General features: G+C 42.4%; 1 annotated feature.

Annotated features, from left to right (window-relative positions):
* Positions 5987–6489: an enhancer, noted in NCBI's record as "H3K27ac-H3K4me1 hESC enhancer chr18:33370492-33370994 (GRCh37/hg19 assembly coordinates)". NCBI's record gives its function as "activates a minimal SCP1, AML or CMV promoter by ChIP-STARR-seq in naive H9 embryonic stem cells {active_cell/tissue: H9 hESC(naive)}" and the evidence as "EXISTENCE:reporter gene assay evidence [ECO:0000049][PMID:30033119]".

Genomic DNA, 23402 nt, shown 5'->3' with positions numbered 1-23402 from the left:
ACCCTTTGTGGTGCCTTCTCCCACTTTCAATAGAATAAAGGCTAAAGCCACATAATCTCAATAGAAGGAGAAAAAGCATTTGACAAAAATTCAGCAATCTTTCATGATAAAAGCAATCAACAAACTAGGAATAGAAGGAAACTTCCTTACCATGATAAAGGGCATCCGAAAAACCGCAGCTAACATTATACGTTTTTATTTTTTTTTTTTTTTGGTGATATCCCCTTTGTCATTTTTTATTGTGTCTATTTGATTCTTCTCTCTTTTCTTCTTTTTTTTTATAATACTTTAAATTCTAGGGTACATGTGCACAATGTGCAGGTTTGTTACATATGTATACATGTGCCATGCTGGTGTGCTGCACCCATAGACTCGTCATTTACATTAGGTATTTCTCCTAATGCTATCCCTCCCCACTCCCCCGACCCCACGACAGGCCCTGGTGTGTGATGTTCCCCTTCCTGTGTCCAAGTGTTCTCATTGTTCAATTCTCACCTATGAGAGAACATGAGGTGTTTGGCTTTTTGTCCCCGTGATAGTTTGCTCAGAATGATGGTTTCCAGCTTCATCCATGTCCCTAAAAAGGACATGAACTCATCCGTTTTTATGGCTGCATAGTATTCCATGATGTATATGTGCCACATTTTCTTAATCTGGTCTATCATTGATGGACATTTGGGTTGGTTCCAAGTCTTTGCTATTGTGAATAGTGCCGCAATAAACATACGTGTGCATGTGTCTTTATAGCAGCATGATTTATAATCCTTTGGGTATATACCCAGTAATGGGATGGCTGGGTCAAATGGTATTTCTAGTTCTAGATTCTTAAGGAATTGCCACACTGTCTTCCACAGTGGTTGAACTAGTTTACACTCCCACCAACAGTGTAAAAGTGTTCCTATTTCTCCACAACCTCTCCAGCACCTGTTGTTTCCTGACTTTTAATGATTGCCATTCTAACTGGTGTGAGATAGTATCTCATTGTGGTTTTGATTTGCATTTCTCTGATGGCCAGTGATGGTGAGCATTTTTTCATGTGTTTTTTGCCTGCATAAATGTCTTCTTTTGAGAAGTGTCTGTTCATATCCTTCACCCACTTTTTGATGGGGTTGTTTGTTTGTTTTCTTGTAAATTTGTTTGAGTTCATTGTAGATTCTGGATATTAGCCCTTTGTCAGATGAGTAGACTGCAAACATTTTCTCCCATTCTGAAGTTGCCTGTTCACTCTGATGGCAGTTTCTTTTGCTGTGCAGAAGCTCTTTAGTTTAATTAGATCCCATTTGTCAATTTTGGCTTTTGTTGCCATTGCTTTTGGTGTTTTCGACATGAAGTCCTTGCCCATGCCTATGTCCTGAATGGTATTGCCTAGGTTTTCTTCTAGGGTTTTTATGGTTTTAGGTGTAACATTTATGTCTTTAATCCATCTTGAATTAATTTTTGTATAAGGTGTAAGGAAGGGATCCGGTTTCAGCTTTCTACATATTGCTAGCCAGTTTTCCCAGCACCATTTATTAAATCGAGAATCCTTTCCGCATTTCTTATTTTTGTCAGGTTTGTCGAAGATCAGATGGTTGTAGATGTGTGGTATTATTTCTGAGGGCTCTGTTCTGTTCCCTTGGTCTATATCTCTGTTTTGGTACCAGTACCATGCTGTTTTGGTTACTTATAGCCTTGTAGTATAGTTTGAAGTCTGGTAACGTGATGCCTCCAGCTTTGTTCTTTTGGCTTAGGATTGACTTGGCAATGTAGGCTCTTTTTTGGTTCCATATGAACTTTAAAGTAGTTTTTTCCAATTCTGTGAAGAAAGTCATTGGTAGCTTGATGGGGATGGCATTGAATCTATAAATTACCTTGTGCAGTATGGCCATTTTCACAATATTGATTCTTCCTATCCATGAGCATGGAATGTTCTTCCATTTGTTTGTATCCTCTTTTATTTCGTTGAGCAGTGGTTTGTAGTTCTCCTTGAAGAGGTCCTTCACATCCCTTGTAGATTGGATTCCTAGGTATTTTATTCTCTTTGAAGCAATTGTGAATGGGAATCCACTCCTGATTTGGCTCTCTGTTTGTCTGTTATTGGTGTATAAGAATGCTTGTAATTTTTGCACATTGATTTTGTATACTGAGACTTCGCTGAAGTTGCTTATCAGCTTGAGATTTTGGGCTGAGACGATGGGGTTTTCTAGATATACAATCATGTCATCTGCAAACAGGGACAATTTGTCTTGCTCTTTTCCTAATTGAACACCCTTTATTTCTTTCTGCTGCCTGATTGCCCTGGCCAGAACTTCCAACACTATGTTGAATAGGAGTGGTGAGAGAGGGCATCCCTGTCTTGTGCCAGTTTTCAAAGGGAATGCTTCCAGTTTTTGCCCATTCAGTATGACACTGGCTGTGGGTTTGTCATAAATAGCTCTTATTATTTTGAGATACGTCCCATCAATACCTAATTTATTAAGAGTTTTTAGCATGAAGGGCTGTTGAATTTTGTCAAAGGCCTTTTCAGCATCTATTGAGATAATCATGTGGTTTTTGTCTTTGGTTCTGTTTATATGCTGGATTACATTTATTGATTTGCATATGTTGAACCAGTCTTGCATCCCAGGGATGAAGCCCACTTGATCATGGTGGATAAGCTTTTTGATGTGCTGCTGGATTTTGTTTGCCAGTATATTATTGAGGATTTTCGCATCGATGCTTATCAGGGATATTGGTCTAAAATTCTCTTTTTTTGTTGTGTCTCTGCCAGGCTTTGGTATCAGGATGATGCTGGCCTCATAAAATGAGTTAGGGAGGATTCCCTCTTTTCCTATTGATTGGAATAGTTTCAGAAGGAATGGTACCAGCTCCTTCTTGTACCTCTGATAGAATTCAGCTGTGAATCCATCTGATCCTGGACTTTTTTTGGGTGGTAAGCTATTAATTATTGCCTCAATTTCAGAGCCTGTTATTGATCTATTAAGAGATTCAAATTCTTTCTGGTTTAGTCTTGGGAGGGTGTATGTGTCAAGGAATTTATCCATTTCTTCTAGATTTTCTAGTTTATTTGCGTAGAGGTGTTTATAGTGTTCTCTGATGGTAGTTTGTATTTCTGTGGGATCTGTGGTGATATTCCCTGTATCATTTTTTATTGCGTCTATTTGATTCTTCTCTCTTTTCTTCTTTATTAGTCTTGCCAGTGGTCTATCAATTTTGTTAATCTTTTCAAAAAACCAGCTCCTGGATTCATTGGTTTTTTTGAAGGGTTTTTTGTGTCTCTTATCTCCTTCAGTTGTGCTCTGATCTTAGTTATTTCTTGCCTTCTGCTAGCTTTTGAATGTGTTTGCTCTTGCTTTTCTAGTTCTTTTAATTGTGATGTTAGGGTGTCAATTTTAGATCTTTCCTGCTTTCTCTTGTGGGCATTTAGTGCTATAAATTTCCCTCTACACACTGCTTTGAATGTGTCCCAGAGATTCTGGTATGTTGTGTCTTTGTTCTCATTGGTTTCAAAGAACATCTTTATTTCTGCCTTCATTTCGGTATGTACCCAGTAGTCATTCAGGGGCAGGTTGTTCAGTTTCCATGTAGTTGAGCAGTTTTGAGTAAGTTTCTTAATCCTGAGTTCTAGTTTGATTGCACTGTGGTCTGAGAGACAGTTTGTTATAATTTCTGTTGTTTTAATTTGCTGAGGAGTGCTTTACTTCCAACTGTGTGGTCAATTTTGGAATAGGTGCACTGTGGTGCTGAGAAGAATGTATATTCTGTTGATTTGGGGTGGAGAGTTCTGTAGATATCTATTAGGTCCGCTTGGTGCAGAGCTGAGTTCAATTCTTGGATATCCTTGTTAACTTTCTGTCTCGTTGACCTGTCTAATGTTGACAGTGGGGTGTTAAAGCCTCCCATTATTATTGTGTGGGAGTCTAAGTCTTTTTGTAGGTCTCTAAGGACTTGCTTTGTGAATCTGGGTGCTCCTGTATTGGGTGCATATATATTTAGGATAGTTAGCTCTTCTTGTTGAATTGATCCCTTTACCATTATGTAATGGCCTTCTTTGTTTCTTTTGATCTTTGTTGGTTTAAAGTCTGTTTTATCAGAGACTAGGATTGCAACCCCTGCCTTTTTTTGTTTTCCATTTGCTTGGTAGCTCTTCCTCCATCCCTTTATTTTGAGCCTATGTGTGTCTCTGCATGTGAGATGGGTTTCCTGAATACAGCACACTGATGGGTCTTGACTCTTTATCCAATTTGCCAGTCTGTGTCTTTTAATTGGAGCATTTAGCCCATTTACATTTAAGGTTAATATTGTTATGTGTGAATTTGATCCTGTCATTATGATGTTAGCTGGTTATTTTGCTCGTTAGTTGATGCAGTTTCTTCCTAGCCTCGATGGTCTTTACAATTTGGCATGTTTTTGCAGTGGCTGGTACAGTTGTTCCTTTCCATGTTTAGTGCTTCCTTCAGGAGCTCTTTTAGGGCAGGCCTGGTAGTGACAAAATCTCTCAGCATTTGCTTGTCTGTAAAGTATTTTACTTCTCCTTCAATTATGAAGCTTAGTTTGGCTGGATATGAAATTCTGGCTTGAAAATTCTTTAAGCACGTTGAATATTGGCCCCCACTCTCTTCTGGCTTGTAGAGTTTCTGCCAAGAGATCAGCTGTTAGTCTGATGGGCTTCCCTTTGTGGGTAACCTGACCGTTCTCTCTGGCTGCCCTTAACATTTTTTCCTTCATTTCAACTTTGGTGAATCTGACAATTATGTGTCTTGGAGTTGCTCTTCTCGAGGAGTATCTTTGTGGCATTCTCTGTATTTCCTGAATTTGAGTGTTGGCCTGCCTTGCTAGGTTGGGGAAGTTCTCCTGGGTAATATCCTGCAGAGTGTTTTCCAGCTTGGTTCTGTTCTCCCCATCACTTTCAGGTACACCAATCAGACGTAGATTTGGTCTATTCACATATTCCTATATTTCTTGGAGGCTTTGTTTCTTTTTATTGTTTTTTCTCTAAACTTCTCTTCTCACTTCATTTCATTCATTTGATGTTCCATCACTGATACCCTTTCTTCCAGTTGATCAAATCAGCTACTGAAGGTTGTGCATCCGTCACGTAGTTCTCATGCCATGGTTTTCATCTCCATCAGGTCCTTTAAGGACTTATCTGCATTGGTTATTCTAGTTAGCAATTCCTGTAATCTTATTTCAAGGTTTCTAACTTCTTTATGATGGGTTCGAACTTCCTCCTTTAACTCAGAGAAGGTTGATTGTCTGTAGCCTTCTTCTCTCAACTTGTCAAAGTCATTCTCCGTCCAGCTGTGTTCCATTGCTGGTGAGGAGCTGCATTCCTTTGGAGGAGGAGAGGAGCTCTGATTTTTAGAATTTTCAGTTTTTCTGTTCTGTTTTTTCCCCATCTTTGTGGTTTTATCCACCTTTGGTCTTTGATGATGGTGACATACAGATGGGGTTTTGGTGTGGATGTCCTTTCTGTTTGTTAGTTTTCCTTCTAACAGTCAGGACCCTCAGCTCCAGGTCTTTTGGAGTTTGCTGGAGGTCCACTCCAGACCCTGTTTGCCTGGGTATCAGCAGCGGAGGCTGCAGAACAGTGGATATTGGTGAACAGTAAATGTTGCTCTGTGATCGTTCCTCTGGAGGTTTTGTCTCAGAGGAGTACCTGGCCGTGTGAGGTGTCAGTCTGCCCCTACTGGGGGGTGCCTCCCAGTTAGGCTACTCGGGGGTCAGGGACCCACTTGAGGAGGCAGTCTCTCCATTCTCAGATCTCAAACTCTGTGCTGGGAGAACCACTACTCTCTTCCAAGCTGTCAGACAGGGACATTAAAGTGTGGAGAGGTTTCTGCTGCCTTCTGTTCAGCTATGCCCTGCCCCCAGAGGTGGAGTCTACAGAGGCAGGCAGGCCTCCTTGAGCTGTGGTGGGCTCCACACAGTTCGAGCTTCCCGGCCACTTTGTTTACCTACTCAAGCCTTAGCAATGGCGGGCGCCCCTCCCTCAGCCTTGCTGCCACCTTGAGGTTCGATCTCAGACTGCTGTGCTGGCAATGAGCAAGGCTCTGTGGGCGTGGGACCCTCTGAGCCAGGCACGGGACATGATCTCCTGGTGTGCCATTTGCTAAGACTGTTGGAAAAACGCAGTATTATGGTGGGAATGACCCGATTTTCCAGGTGCTGTCTGTCACAGCTTCCCTTGGCTAGGAAAGGGAATTGCCTGACCCCTTGCACTTCCCGGGTGAGGCGATGCCTCGCCCTGCTTCGGCTCACGCTCGGTGGGCTGTACCCACTGTCCTACGCCCACTCTCTGACAAGCCCCAGTGAGATGAACCCGGTACCTAAGTTGGAAATGCAGAAATCACCCATCTTCTGCGTCACTCACGCTGGGAGCTGTAGAATGGAGCTGTTTCTATTCGGCCATCTTGGACACTATACGTTTTTTTTGAGACACAGTCTCATTCTGTCTCCCTGGCTGGAGTGCAGTGGTGCCATCTTGGCTCACTGTAAGCTCCAACTCCCAGGTTCAAGTGATTCTTGTGCCTCAGGCTCTAGAGTAGCTGGGATTACAGGTGCGAGCCACCACAACCAGCTTCTAAGAGAGTCCCATGATGTCTCCATGTGGTGGTGTCCATGATTAGGTTTCATTAGGTGGTAAAGGTGAAGTAATTTTGAAGATATAGTTAAGTAGTTAAGATGTCTAATCAATTGGCTTTAAATTAACTGAAAGAGTGATTTACCTGGCCAGGTGTGACCTAATCAAATGAGCTCTTTAAAAGAGACTCTGTCTTCTACTGGTCCCAGTGAAGCAAACAGCTGTCTTATAAACCGCTGGAGGGGAGCAGCAGCCCTCAGGAGCTGAGGACCTCAGTCCTACCACTGTAAGAAGCTGAAGTTCTCCAAACCTGAGGGAGCTTGAAGTGCATTCTTTTCAAGTTGCATTCTTCAGATGGGAATGCAGCCCACTGACACCTTGACTGCAGCTTTGTGAAACCATGAGCAAAGGACCTAGCTAGGCCCACCTGGACTCCTAACCCATGAAAGCTGTGAGATAAGTGTGTGTGGGTTTAAGATGTTAATTTTGTGATAGTTTGTTATGCAGTATTAAAAAACATATACACTCAAAAGCACAGAGAATAGTACAATGCCATGCTACTCAAACTGTGCTCCATGAACTCATGCTGTCCACAGTCTGTTCCTGATCCCTGAGAAAATCAGTACGGAAACTAGAGCAAGCACTGAGTAACTTCTACAGCAGTCGGACACTGCCATGACACCCAAGTGTGTGACCACTAGACTCATCTCCAGGGCAGGACCAGTTTGCATTTGTGAAACTTACATGACAAATTGTGCATGGTATAGTCTGTGTGCTAGATACATGTTACAACATGTATGGTTTCAGTTTTAGTGTGATGATTGAAATCCAAAATTATCAAAATCTGAGAAATGTAAGCATTTACTTATTTTCTAACTTCTTATTTTCAATTTTTATTCAAGCTTGTTTGGTTTAGGTTTAGCAAATTATTAAATTAGAGAAATAAAAGTCCAATTATTTATTTTTAAACCTGTGTTATTTTAACCCCATGTTTCAACAACATAGCTTGATGTACTCAAGAACTGACCAGTGATACAGAAAACCAACTCTTAGAACAGATAAAACTGGTGAATTTTTCACTGCAGTTCAAAGAATGTGTGGGTTTGCTAATGGTACAGTTCTAGTATGTGTGCAATTTGAACACGATGCCGATATGAAGAATTTAGCTCCATTACCAATCAACACAACTAGCTGTGAACTACATAAAACTATGAAAGAGGCTGAGTGTGGTGGCTCATATCTGTAATCCCAACACTTTGGGAGGCTGAGGCAGGAAGATCCCTTGAGCCTGGAAGTTTGGGACTAGCCTGGACAGCATAGTGGGACGCTCTCTCTTCAAAAACTAAAAAAATTAACAGGGTGGTGGTGCACACCTGTGGTCCTAGCTACTTGGGAGGCTGAAGTGGAAGGCTCATTTGAACCTGGGAGGCCAAGGCAGCAGTGAACCGTGATTACATCACTGTACTCCAGCCCGGGCAACAGAGTGAAGACCACCCTATCTCAAACAACAACAACAACAACAACAACAACCTATGAAAGAATACATTGTCCACAAATGTGGCTTTGAGTTTAAAGTGCGTGGAGAGAGTATTCTTGTGTTCTGACAGCTGCAATAACAGGAGAATATTCTGGAGCAGAGAGAGCAGTCATCCAGATTAAGGAGTTTGTGGCAGAATGTAAGTCAAATGCATGGTTTCATTCCGTGAGAAAGTCTTGCTACCAAAAACACTAAAACAAATCCTAAAAGACCCCCAGTGAACTGAATAGTATATCCAGTAATGAATCAAGAATTTGTGAATTACATGAAGACAAATGCACTAAAGATTTTCCTTCTTTTATGTGATAATATGTGAGTGGAACACAATAATCTCTTACTGCATGTTGAGATACAATCGTTTTGGCAGAAGTCTGTCAGGAACAAAATACAGAACAAAGTCATCACGCTTCCGCAAGATAAGGAATCCATTTGACCCAGTGTTTAAAGAGTAAACTGGACATCCAGACTTACTGATTTTTCTGATATCTCAGGTCTCTTAAATTTATTTTTTAATTAATTAATTTTTAAATTGACACACTTGTAATTGCACATATTATGAGGTACAATTTGATGTTTTGATACATATGTGTTGTATAATGATCAAATCTGTGTATTTAGCATGTTTACTACCTCATGTACTTATTTCTTTATGGTAAGAACATTCAAAAACCTCTCTTGTAGCTATTTTGTGATATACAATACCTTACTGTTCACCGTGGTCACCCTACTGTGCCATAGATGCTAGGACTTATCTTGCCTATTGTACCCTTGTACCCATTGACCAACCTTTCCACATTCTCCTCTTCTCTCTCCCCTCCCCACTCTCTGGTAACCACTGTTCTACTCTCTGCTTCTACTTTATTTTAGATTCTAGATATGAGTGAGATCATATGGTATTTGTTAGGTATTTTTAATGATCTTTAAATTTTCATGTAAGGTAGGAATGCAAGAAAACATCAAAAGGCAAAACCAAAAATTAGAATTTCTACAGATTTTTATGACATGTTTTGTCTCATCAACAATAATCAGAAATGTAGTGGATGGCCTATTACTGTATACCTGCATACTTGTGAAATTTGAATTTTATTTGTATCAGATACAATGCTCACATAAGAAAACTATGGTTCTGGAATCTATTTCTTTCATCAATAGATGTGGATAATTTAAATGAAACTGTGACTTTACAGAATAAATTGAAACTGTCTACTGACCAAGGACTGAAGACAAATTTTGAAAATATAACATTATTTGCTTTATTTTTGGATAACAGTTTTAAATGAATATTCTGAGCTTGCTGAAATTGCTTTAAAATCTCTTCTGCCTTGGCCAGGTGAGGTGGCTCATGTCTGTAGTCCCAGCTTCTCAGGAGGCTGAGGCAGGAGGGTCGCCTGAGTCCAGGAGTTGGAGGCTGCAGTAAACTATGATAGCACTACTGTACTCCAGCCTGGGCAACAGAGTGAGACTCTGCCTCCAAAAAAAAAAAAAAAAAAAAGTTTTGTCTTTACTCTTTTTATATGATATGTTTGTTTTGATTATATTTATTGAAATATAATTTTATGTCTGTTGAATACAATGAAAAATTTTGACTTACATCTTGTATGTCTGGTTTTTTATATCATTTAATTTTTTTGGTAATTCACTTTTATTGTATTTTATAAAAGTATTAGTCTATGATAAATTGGAAGTTTTTTTTTAAAAAAAGCAAATCTGCCCTTCTTCCCATGAGGAGGAGAAGGCACATGGTTGTAAAACCACAGAGACCACACCTGCTTCCACAAAGACCCACTTTTCAACACTCTTGTCTCAGCTGTTCTCCCACTTCTATTTTTTGCTGGAGTATTTTAAAGCAAATCCTAGACATCATATACTTGTATGAGCAACTACTTCAGTATATAGTTTTAAAAATAATGCCTTAAAAACTCTAATCACAATATCATCACATTCAACAAAATAAGTATTATAATTCCTAATAGTATCTAATACTTGGCTTATCTTCACTTCCCTGATTATCTTGAAAACAACTTTGAGGTTGGTTTGTTCAAGTCAGGATGCAAACAAGGGCCACATACTGCATTTGGCTGCTCTGTCTCAAGTCTCCTTTGATCTAACACTTCCCTCTTCTATTTCTTTAAAACCATAAGGCTGTTGAAGAAAGAGAGTCATTTGTCCTGCAGAATTTTTCACATATCTGAATTTGGCTTACTGCTTCCAGGGACGGTCTGTTAATCTCTTCCTCTATCCCCAATAGTTCTATCTCCTGTGAGTTAGTCAAAGGCTTTATTAGATTAATGCTTGTGTGTGTGTGTGTATGTGCATGCATGCATGCAAGATTACTTCCTAGGTGGTGCCATGTATTTCCGATTGCATCAGCCCGAGAGACACCTAAGTCTGGTTGCCACCCTCAGTGACTATGACATTGATCAGTGGGTTTAGTTTTTCACCCTGATCCACCCATTATCATATCCTCCATTGACTTTTACTTAATGGTTAGCAACCATTAATTATTGCTACCTAGATCCATTATTTCACTGGGGATTTGAAAAGTGGTGATTTTCTAAACATCTCTTTCCCTCTTCATTTATTAGCTTGAATGGATTTCTACAGAGGAAACATTATCTCTTCTCTTTATTTGGTTATCTTGAAATACAGACTGTAGAAAAGAACAGGAACAATGCTCAATTTTTTCCCTTCCTTTTATAAATTTCCAGAATAATAAATTTGCACCTTATCAATTTCCCAAGATAACTGATTAATTTTGTTTTATTTTGTATTTTTTAAATAGTATCTATACGAACTCATAGATTTTATATATTTGGTATGTTTCAAAACACTGCCATCATTATTCAAATGGCCCTGTCTTTGGGCAATGGGCACCTCTTCAGGCTGGTTCTGGGGTCTATTTTGACATCAATCTAGTAGACATTAAGAGCTCTTTGTTTTCAGGCATGACAAGGTGTCCCAGGCTCATCTTGTATGCTTTCAGCCCCAGGCATGAAATCAGCCATTTTTCTACTCTGGTTCCTTTTAGTGGAAGTTGAAACTTATGAGCCACAGTCTAGGTTCTATAGCTCTAAGTCCTTTACACCCTCTTCCCATGGACTGGAAGAGCTCATTAAAGATTAAATATGTAGAAGTTTGAGGCCAAGACCATTGCTTTGATTTGAGAGTCTAGTGTACACATCACCTTCAAGGAGCCCATGAGGAGACAGACTTGGGTCTCCCAACACAATACCAGAAAATAACACTTGTACCACCCCTTAAAACCTCTAACTGGTTTGAAATGACTTCATTCATTTACTCATTTGTCCATTCAACAAATACTTTGAGCACCTATTATATCTATTGTGTCAAGCCCCAGGCATATATATATGTATATGTGTATATATATATATATATATATATGTATATATAAATGAACAAAACAGACCTAATCTCTGCTCTCAGGCACACGATGTTCTAGTGAGGGGAGGACAATGAACAGGTAAACACGTTCGTGACAGAGTGTGGGGCATGCTTTCTATATAGCATGGTCTGGTGAAGATCTGGAGCAAATACCTGAGGAAATGAGGAAGGATGGCAGGCAGAAATCTAGGGAAAAGTGTCAGGACAGAGGGAACAGTCAGTGCAAGGGCCCTGAGCCAGAAGTGCACTCATCGTGATTTCTAACCCTAGAGATACTGACAAATTCTTTACTCTCCAACACGTCCTATCAATTTCAAAATATTTTCTCACAGTAACATTTTATAAGTTCACAGCTTGCCTCTCAGCAGTGACCTTTTTATATGGTAACTTTTATGCCATCACTTCACAATGTCTTGAAAGATATAACATCTTCCCCCATATCCCAACACTTATATTCTTAAAAATAACTTTTCTAATTCCAGAAGTTTGGGGTGTTTATTGCAGAACACATGGAAAACACACACACACACACAAAACACATAACAAAATTAAATGAAAACAAAACAGAAGCCATCTGTTTCTCCCCCCACCGCCCCTGCTACTGAGAATTCACCTCTGTTGACACTGAAATTTGTGTCCTTCCATTTTATTTACAAAAATGTAGTGAGTCCAGGACCTTGCCTTCTCATTTGTGGACATGGCTTTCAGTACCTGTAGAGACTGCCGGCTTATAACTGCCCAATAGTAATTTCTCAAAGCAGTAGCTTCTTCCTGAGTTATGGCTTGCACGTGCTAAATTATCCTTTTATACCTAGAGGGCACTTCCGGTGTATCACAAACCCTGTCCTTCCCTCTCTCCAGAGGTCATGCCACTGAGTTCCACTGTTTCCAAATTATCAGGCGGTCCTTGCTTCTCAGATAGATTTCTCTGATAGATGTGACAAAAAGAATCTGTCCCCACTCTCACCCTTTCCCCTTCCTGCCAAGAGAGACCCTTTAGGGTGGGTGGGATAGTGAGGCAGGCAATATTTGAAATGTAATATTGAAATGGTGGAGACAGAATTTAATGAATTTTATTTTAGTGTAAAATAGAATTTTAATTTACCTAGTTTGCTTTCATCACCCGATGCTGTGCATGGTATTGTCACCGAGGTCCTGTTTATTTGGTAAGTTTCATCACCAATTATCTGAACACTTGTACACGCAGAATATTCTTAACAAACTTAGGTGAAAACAACAAAGACCATCCAGATGAGAGCAAGCAGAAGCCATTCGTTCAGAGCTATAGCAAGGGAGTCAGCCACAGCCAGCACCATGGTGTTGGGCAGAGGCTCCAAGGCAGGCAGGGAGTGGGGATGCTTCCTAGTGGAAAAGGGTAGGCTTCAGGTATGCTCTGACTGGAGGCTGTTAGCGTGGGGGAGCTGGAGGCAGACTAACTAGAAGTGGGGCATCCTATGTGATTGTTCTGGAGCACATATTGGGCTTTATCTGGTTTGTCCCGTGTTGGGGAGGGGATGAGGATAAAACACAGGGAAGCTGCAGTTGCTGCCGGGTGCTGATCCTTCCGGGCTGGTCACCACAGTGGTTGTGGTTTGGCTTCCCAGTTTTGTGGCTATACAGATTGCAAGTCAGAATCTCATCATCATATGTAGTCAGTCATTGTTCATTCAGTCTCTCACATATGTTTCAAAATGTCACATTGACGATTTGAGTGTCATGATGGAAAGATATTTTCCTTTAGAACTGAGGTCCATGGGGTATGGTGGTGTGAGAGAAATGCTCAGACATCACAATGAATGTTTGAATTCCAGCAGGTGACCCTAGACAGGCCATTTCCTCATTAGTAAAATAGAAAAATATTAAACCCACCTCGTATGGTTGTTGAAAGCGTAAGAAACATGTGTTTATGCAAGGCCTAGTATAAAGAAGACTTGGTTAGGGCTGTGTGTTGGAGAGAAGCAGCTGATGCTCTCTTCTGGGGGTCACTTAGGGGCCTTGGCAGAGCTGTGACTTTGGACACCAACTTTGGTTTAGAAAAAGACTCAATAAATGCAACTTTCCTTCAGCCACTTGGCAGTGGGAGTGGAAGGTCCTTGCTATGTAGAACCCTGTGGTCTCTGGGTCCCTCCTGCTCTGTCCAGTGGCATTTGCTATCATTCGGAAAGTTTGCAAGGCCATCCCTGACAGGCCGATCATTTCCCCAATTACTGGTCTGCGTTTGTGTTGAAGTCTATAGTATAGCAGAAAAACAGACTAAAGCTCCCAACAGTACATGTTCTCATGATTCATGCAGACAGCCCTGCCATCTTCAGCAAGTGCAAACTAGAACTACATGTTAAGCAATAAAACCACATGCCATGCTGTCCAGACAGGGCCTACTGACTTCTTACAGCTTAGCTGGGGTTGAATTTTCTATACAAGCTCTCACACTCTCCTCCAAGGATGACCGGATCTAGCAAGTATCTGCTCCACCCAATGTTTCTGTTTTCCATCCCACATGCTGAGTCTGGAACTTACTCTGCACAGGCTCTGTGGGTGATCGACACCCCAGGACTTGAATTGGAGACCTTGTACATTTAACTTAGGACCTAAGTGTCAATATGTGTCACTCTGTTCTTCCCTTTGTCCACCAGACTGATGACTGTGATTCAGAGAGGATGTGAGCTCCAACCTGAATTCCATCAGCCTACAAACAACCTCATTCCTCAAAGGTTCCTATTCAGACAGGCTTTATCTGTAGTTATTAATAAAATATGTTAGCAACCGAGTCAGCTTTGGCTGGCAATCATACATAAGCCTACCTAACTAACCATACACCACATTGTAGAAAGAAGTTCATACTCTCAAAGAGCAAGTTTCTATGGAAATATACATCTAACTACATTTGGACTATATGTTTATACATCTATACACCTATATACATTTATATTAGACTCCTAGGCCTGCTGTAACAAAGCATCCCAAATTTGGTGGCTTAAAACACAAGAAATGTGTGCCATCATACTTCTGTATGCTAGAAGCCTAGAATCAAGGGGCAGGCAGGGCCGTGCCCTCCCTGAAGCCTCTAGCAGAGATCCTTCTTTGCCTCTTCCAGGCCTTTGTCTGCTGCTGGCACTCTTTGCATACCTTGGCTTGTAGATGCATTATTCGAATCTCTGGTGTCACATGGTGTTCTCTCTGTGTGTCTGTCCAAATCTCCCCCTTGTTTTAAGGGCACCAGTTATTGTATTAGCACCCACCTTAATCCAGTATGAGCTCATCTTAGTTTGATTATATTTTGCAAAGACCCTATTACCAAATAAGGTCACATTCACAGCCATGGGGTGGGGGGGTAGGACTTCAAAAGATCTTTTGGAGAGACACAATTCTACCCCCAACAGGTACCTCTACACTAATAAGAGGAGTACTTTTGAGAGACAGCATAGCCCAGTTGTTAGGAGAGGGATTCTCACCAGATTCAACTCCTGGCTTTGTTGCTTCTTAGCTGTGTGATCTTGGGAAATATAGGTAGGCAATCTGTGCCTTAGTTTCTTTACCTGTAAAATGGGAGGTGCTAATCAAAATGCCAGCCTCAGAGGAGCATAACAGGCTCCTGTGAGTCAGCCCCCATAAAGTACAGGGCACAGAGCTGGCACATGGCAGGTGTCAGTCCACAGGGGCCCTGCTGATTGACCAGGTACTCTTCTGAGCTCTTCATAGTATTAACCTACTTAATCCTCAAAACAATGAAATTGGTACTATTATCACTCCCATTTTATAGAAGGTTAACTGAGGCACAGATAGGTTAATAATTAGCCCAAGGTCCCACATCAGAAAGTGGCACAGCTGGGACCTAAACCCAGGCAGTCCCGCTCAGAGCCTGTCCTCCACTGTAACATCGGATATCATTACCCACTGCATAATCTACCCAGTGTTCTCCATCACACCCAAAGAGGCTGTTTCTTTTGAATATCTTCTCTTCCTCATGTCTTAGACTCAAATAGGATATAGTTCTAAGTTTAAAATATAAGGCTTTTTCTGCCTTCTCAGTCCTTTGGGGCTATGGCCTTCATCATGTGCTGTCTTTACTCTCCTAGCTGCACAGACTTTGGCCTTTGTCACAAACTCCTCAGTCTATTCCTGCCTTTGCTTACTGCAGGGAGCTGCCCACAAGAGATCAGCTGCAAAATGCATGTCTATATGGAGGGCTGCCTTGCAGTTGGACTGGCCATTTCTCATCCTTTGCTCCTTCTTCTTTGTTTATTAGTCTTGCTCCTTTTGTAGAAACACCTCAGCCCCAGTGCTGGTAACTTCATGTTTTGCTTGTATTATAAGGAATGGCCCTTTTTAGAGTTCTCATCCCAGTTCCCCATGAGTGTAAGCCAGAGACAGACAGGTGGCGACACCTGAGCACAGACGAGGGAGGGGCGCAGCTTGGCATTAGGTGAGTTTGGGAGGAAGTTATCCAGAGGATACCTTGAGTCAGGACTGGAAATAAGTGAGGAAGTTCTCAGCCTGCTCTTGTGGTCTAGCAAGCAGGGAAGACACATAGCAGTTCCTGGGGTGCGAGGCAAGTGCCAAAATGGAGGGCCTGCCGAGGTCAAGGAAGGATTCCTGGAGGAGGGGACCTTGAGCTGAGTTAGACCTGAGTTACAGTTCATCACTCCCTAACTGTAACATGTTATCAGCTTCTCTGGCCTTTTGTCCTCACTGGCAAACTTGGGCTGTTGTGAAACAAAATATGCCCCATCTATGGCACACAGAGTTGCCGTATAAATCACAGTAGGTAGTGCTATTATATTGTTATTATTGTACCTCCTAGTAATAAGAATGGTTGCTTAATAATAACATACCCTCCTCTTTCAGAGAGTAAATTCATTTCCAATAACAAACCTCAGCCTACGTGCAAATACAGCTCTTCAAAAATATGATTATATATATATTTATATATATATATATATGAACAAGATTTTTGAAAGGTATCACAAGTGGATTTCATTCCAGGCCGCTCCATGCAGCTCCTGCACCTGCAGTTTCCCACTCCTGAAGAGTCTGCTACAAAAAAGTGAACAACTGGGGATCTTCAGAACTGGAATCAGTCTTCCCATCCCCAGGACTGACTTCCTTCTTGAGGGATATCAACAATGATATTTTCTCCACATTTGATGCATTACGAGGGATGTGTAATTACGATGATGATGGAAGAGTCTCGGCTCCCTGCGAAGGCATCTTAGTGATGATTATTTTATAATATTGTCATTATGTCTCCACAGAGTACAACTGAGTGAAGCCAAGTTGCTGAGACAGATGGTATGAGCATGTCATTGCATTAAATGGACATTTTCCCCTTGTAGCCTTTAGTAATTTATATCTTTAAAAAGGAGACAAGGATCTGTCTGCCTAGTTAATTAAAAATACCGAATCTCACAGATGAGAAGTATGGTTCTTATTAAAGTGTCCATTTACTACCTTGACAGTTTGTAAGAAGCAAATATTTCTCCTGCTCCATGCATAAAGGAACTAAGTTACTCAGCCAAGGGAAATCCACTTTGGAAAACAAACGAATCCATGAGATTCCCGATGATGCCATAGCGTCAGTGTGGGGTCAGATGATAAAGTGAAATGCCTGCGGAAAAATACAGTTCTCATTAAATAAGGGAATTGGAACTTTCTTCATCCCAATATTGGCCTATAGTCCACACAGATTCTCCCTGTTTTATCAAGGAGGAGATTTATTGAGCAGAAGTATTAGACATTTCCCCACAAAGGACAGAAAGACCTCACTGAGGAGTAGTTTTCTGAGAAGTTGGGCTGAGCTGAAAGCGTGATAGAATTCCAGTAAAATATGCGGTGGGGATGCTGTCACCTACCACTGCCTCTCCCCAACGTCCTCTAAAATGACAGTGAAGAAACGAACAGACAAACAAAAAGACACAAGCCCAATAAGATAAAGAGACAGGCAAAGAGACCATAGAAGAGGGGAAGGCAACAAAAATGTGGAAACCAGATGTCTGAGTGGCCACTGACCTCACAAACCAGAGGAAGCTCCGGGCTGAGAACTGAGAGTTGGCAGGGAAGAGAGCTGGTCAGCCAGCCATGTGAGCTATGAGCAGGGAGGACTCAGCACCAGAGGTGTCAGGGGACTGAGCACACAGATGCAGTTCAGACCAGAGAGAGGAAAGAGCAGCCCCTGGAAGCTAGCTGGCACAGATAGCTAGCTAGCCCTTGACAGTCTCCTGCCAAACAAAAACAGTTTCACAGAACATACATCAGACAAGGCCACTCTGTGACTGTGATGGATAAAGATAAAAACAAAACCACTCCATAACCATGCCTGGGCATCCATAAAAACAGCAACCCTGTCCAAACCTGAAAAATGACCAAGGCACCTCTCTTTCTGGCAAATACGAGTGGCTGTGGCTTCTTCATTGATTACAGCTTTTGCCCTGCTTCACTCCTCCCAACTCCCAGACAAGATTCATGATGTCATCACAAGATTACTCCGCATTTGCCAGCACCCAATCCAGAGAACTCAAATCCAATTTCAAGTCTTTCCTAATTCTCTCTTCCAGAGACACCCATAGTTCTCCATGATGGCAGTTTCCCTCATTAATAAGTCAATAAACCCCAAATGTGTCTGACTATAGGTGTGCTCTTGATGATCTTTGACTGAGGAACATCAACAGGCCCCAGACTCCCATTCCCCGTGTGCCATTCTTCAGGAGGTAACTCTGGAGAGACTGAGCCTGGGAAACGGAGACCCAGGGAGCAGCTGAGACTGCTGAAGAAGGGGTGTATCTCCAGAACAGGGGATTAAATTAATGATGACATAATAGCCAGACCCCAAATCCCTTCCCCCACCTTGCCCAAAAAAATCTGGTAGGCAGACGTACATCCCCTTTGGCAGAGACTAAACAGTCCCCAGCTGTGGAAACGAACAGCCCAAGAGAAAGACTTCCCATCCTCCCTCTAAATGAAATAAGTGGGCAGCCAAGCCCCACCAGATATTTGAAGAAAGACAGAGTCAGAGCAAGAAAAAAACAAGAATGTCAGAGGAGGCAGAAGCAATGACAAAAAAATGAAGAGAATGTCTAAAGGTGAAGCATATTCTCCAACAAATACATTATAAGGGGGAAAAAAGAGTTGGAAGGGTAACTCCAACTGAAAGAGACTTGTGAACTATAACAACCCATTGCAAAGTGTAGACCTTACTTGGATCCTGATTTTAAAAAAGCATAAAAATAAAACCATTTATGAAACAGTGAGGGAAAGGTAAATATTGACTGCATATTTGGTGATATGAGAGAATTATCATCAAAGTTTTTAGATGTGATAATTGTACTATGGTTATGTTTACATAAAAGATTCCTTATCTTTTGGAGATTCATATGGGAATATTTATATGCTATGAATTCTGGAATTTTCTTCAAAATAATTAACTGGGCAGGTGGGGTGGCAGGAAAAGATGAACCAAGATTGGCACAAATTGAACTGTCAAAGCTGTCTGGGGGATACATAGAGGTTTATCATTCTATTAGCTTTACTGTTGCACATGTTTGCAATTTTCCATAATAGAAAATGAACCAAACAAAAGCAAAGCAAACCAAAAACTCTGGAAGTATAACTTTCTTTAACCTTGAGGACTATGCAAAAATGCATCAGCTTATCCAGACCAGTCCCAGACCTGGAAGCCACTATGTCAAGGCAGTACATGCTCAAAGCCTGCAGACATGGAGGAAAGCTTTAGAAACTCTTTGAAAATGTTATAAACCTTGTCAAGGATCATAAAGGGAGGTAACAGGACAGCCTCAAGCACTATTGTAAATTGCTCTCCCCTCCTTCCTGCTTCTTTTTCCTGACCCTTTGGTAACTCTGTGGTATCTGTGGGTGACTTTCCCTCTATACCCCAGGAATTCTCTCACAGGGCAACTTGGTTGGGGTATTCTGGGGGGCAAAACACAGGTGGGGGTTGTGGGGTCAGATTTGGCTCTCAGAGGGGGAAAAGAGGTGACTTGACCTGACTCAGCATAGGGTTCCAAGCTGCTCCCACCCACCGTGCTCCCTGCCCCTACCTTGGAAGCTGGGATGTGGAATGAGGTGGCCAGAAGGGCGGTGGGTGGGCAGATGAGTCCACAAAAGAAAGAGCACCATGAGGAAAGTCCCAGGAGGGCCACACAGGGCAGTGGACAATGAGGAGAGGAAGTGACAGCCACTTGCCCTCCTGGAAGACTCCCTGGGGCACAGTCTGGAGCAGATTCCTGGGCAGAGTGCCGGCTAGGTAAGGGACTAGGTGAGGTGGCACCACTGGCCGCAAGGGGGTGCAGGGTATGGCCAGAACTGGCCTTGGATTTGACAGAGGGGACATAAATGGAGGCTGGCTCCATAAGGGACATGGGAATTGGCAGAATGGGGAATGGGGAGTGGAGAAGATTTCACTCTTTGATTCAAGGAGATGGAGCTCAGGTTTTTTCCTAAGGGATGCGGCTCAAGGGACTGTGACTTCTAAAAATTCCTCTTCAGTGTTAATCTTGGGAGAAGAAATCCTTCATCTCAGACTGAGTAAAGTTCACTGTGAGACTCAGCAGCAGCTTGAAACTGAGAATGCCCTTTTTTTATTTTTTTGCCTTAACAAGAAATTTCCAAGGGCTCTTCTGCTTTTGAGCAACATATCTTGCTTTTCATATTTTTAAAAGACTTGTTGCTTTCAGCCTCTTTGAAATACAGTGAAAAGATATTTTTCCATCTCAGTATTAGAAAGCACTGTTATGCTTTATATATAAGAGTTTTCACTGAGTGCATGGACCTGATGATTCATTTACTGATGGCTAGATGGAAGTTTGTAGCTAATAAAGAGCTGTTTTCTAAAAATAGACAATTACCAGTGTACTTGACTCACCAGGAAAGGGCACCATCAAAACAGTATTGAAAAAATGCACAAGCCAGAGCCATGTCTCCTGACCTTTTCAGAGTAATGGGAATCTGAGAGTCTAATGGAAGACATGAACACCTCAAAGAAGTGTCGAAAATGTGTGCGTGTGCATATTTTGCATATCATTTCAGAAGGTTCATGAACCCAGGAAAAAGCTCCAGAGCAAGAACAACAAAGAGTTGAGAGGAAGCAACAGATCAATTCCATTACAAAAGGATTCTTTGCTCTAAAAAATGATTTGCTATGGGCTCCAAAATGCCTTCTGGTATATTCCAGTTGGTTTATTGGATTTGCAACTATCCCATGTCTATGAGACTTTACAGCTAAGACACTGTTTTCATCAGTTCAAGCCTATTCCCTACACAAACCCATTAATGAAACAACAAATTCTTTTAACAAATATTTGTTGCACCCCCTTTCTGTGCTAGGCCTGTAGGCCACAGAACAGGCACAGGGGAGCTGACAGTCAGCTGGGTAAGAGATGAGGTCTGTGTGGTTCTTGCTGTGTCTCCAGAACCTTGGACAGCTCTCCATTCTATCTATGGGATCAATGCATGAATTAACAATAAGGAAGCAAAATACGAAGTGCTATAAAGAAAATCAAGTGCTATAATTGTAACTGCCCGTTGGGGTTCTTCTTGCCTCCTTCCCAGATGTCAAGACAGGCAAATTGCAATAGAGAAAGAGTTTAATGCACTACAGCAAGCCAAACAGGAGACCAGAGTTTTATTATTACTTAAAGCAGCCTCCCCCAAAATTGGGAGGCTAGGGTTTTTTTGTTTTTTGTTTTGTTTTGTTTTTGTTTTTTGAGACAGAGTATTGCTCCGTCACCCAGGCTGGAGTGCAATGGCATGATCTTGTTTCACTGCAACCCCCACCTCCTGGGTTCAAGTGATTCTCCTGCCTCAACCTCCCGAGTAGCTGGGATTACAGGTGCCTGCCACCATGCCCAGCAAATTTTTGTATTTTTAGTAGAGACAGGGTTTCACCATGTTGTTCAGGTTGGTCTCAAACTCCTGACCTGAGGTGATCCGCCTGCCTTGGCCTGTAAAGTGCTGGGATTACAGGCATGATCGTGCCTGGTCAAGGCTAGGGTCTTTCAAAGATAGCGTGGCCGCCAGGGAGCTAGGGAATGGATGCTGCTGATTGGTTGGTGATGGAATCATAAGAGTTGGGAAAATGGAAAATGATCCTTGTGCACTGAGTCTTGATGGAGGGAAGCCACAGGGATGTTGAGTCATGAATCTTGGGTCCAGGTGGGGCCACCTGGTTGTTAGAAATGCAAAAGTCTGAAAGGACATCTCAAAAGGCTAATCTTAGGTTCCACAATAGTGATGTTATTTATAGGAGTAATTGGGAAGTGACAAATCTTGTGACCTCCAGAATAATGGATGGTAAAAGTTTATGCCTACATCTTAGCAGATTCAGGCCCCTCTCATCTTCCTAACCTTATGGTTTTTCATGAGTTTTACAAAGGCGGTTTAGTTTTAGGAAGGGCTATTACATCATTTAAACTATACAGGAAATGTCTCCCAAATTTAGCTTGGCCCATGTCCGGTAATGACCAAGAACAGTTTGGAGATTAAAGACAAGATGGAATTGGTTAGATCGGATCTCCTTCACTGTTATAATTTTCTCACTGTTATAATTTTTGCAAAGGTGGTTTCATGATGGTGACTAAGGGATGGGAAGGAGGGAAAAATCTCTGTGGAAGCAGAGAGTTGGGGAGAGGTGTTCGGGAAGGTGTCCGCAGGGAGCAGAAATTTAGGCTGAGCTCTGAAAGAGGAGTCCCGGGGGAAGAGCATTTCAGATGGAAAGACCAGCGTGAGTAGAAACCCCTTGGTCAGGAGAGGTATGCCCTGGCGGGGACAGGGGAGGTCAGAGTCACTGGGGCTCCTGGGGAGTGTAGGAAGTGCGGAGGACACAATGACCTGTGGTGTGGGAAGGAAGCAGATGATACAGGGCCTTCTAGGCCATGGTGAAGGGCCACTGCTTTAAATCTGGATGCTGTGGGAAGCAACTGGAGGGGCTTAAGCCATGGAGTGATATGATTTGATATGTGTTTTCAGGAAAACCACTTTGGCTGCTGTGTAAAGAATAAATCACTGGGAGTAGAGGACACAGGGGACAGCTGGAGGCCAGGCAGCTGGACAAGAAGTGATGCTGGCTGTTTGCATGTGGGCGTGGGTTGGGAGTGGCAAGAAATGCCTGGATTTAAGTGACCATCAGAGAGAGAGTTGACCAGGTGTAGTGATAGATTGGATGTGGACAGATGAGGCCCAAGTCAGCTCTCTGACTTCTGGCTGGGAGGATGGTGATGTTACTCACAGAGCTGAGGAAAATGGAGAAACAGGTTTTGAGGGAGCAATGACAAGTTCAGAGTGGGATATGTTGGGACTGAGAAGTTGATTGGGCATCCAAGGGGAGATGTAAAGGAGAAGTGCTGTAGGAGGAGGAGTACAGGTGTTGGAGTGTGAATCAGAAGCTGCAGCAGCAGAGGGGGCATGAAAACCTGGAAAGGTAAGGCGACACAGAGACATGGAAGAGGACTTGGAGATCTCATGCCAGGCACCAGAATCGAGAGGAAGCTGGTACAGGAGATGGAGAGGGAGGGAGAGTGGTTAGGGAAGCTAGGCTCTCACCTGACCCCAACTGCCTTCTCCAAGGCCCTCACAATTTCTCACAAGACCTCTCTGCACTTCAGCCAGGCTGCTGGGGCCCCTGAGGCTGGAAGGCGCCATCTCAACAGCAGCCTTTGTGCTGTTCTTGCCTAGAATGCCCTCCTTGATCTTCTAGACTCTTCTTAATTCCCCTGCCCTGCCTGTATGAGAAGCCATGGGCCAGGCAGCCCCTTGCCCTGCATGTTTTCCAGACAGACATCACACGCCGTCCATGCCACCACCAAACCACAGAGAACATGAATCCAGCTCTTCACGTGTCCTGCTGAAGCCCCTCTCTGTACCAAAGGTGAAGGGGAAACCCCCACATCCCAA

This window comes from Homo sapiens, chromosome 18 (genome assembly GCF_000001405.40).
Source record: "Homo sapiens chromosome 18, GRCh38.p14 Primary Assembly".
NCBI lineage: Eukaryota > Metazoa > Chordata > Mammalia > Primates > Hominidae > Homo > Homo sapiens.
This window is presented reverse-complemented; position numbering and strand designations above follow the sequence as displayed.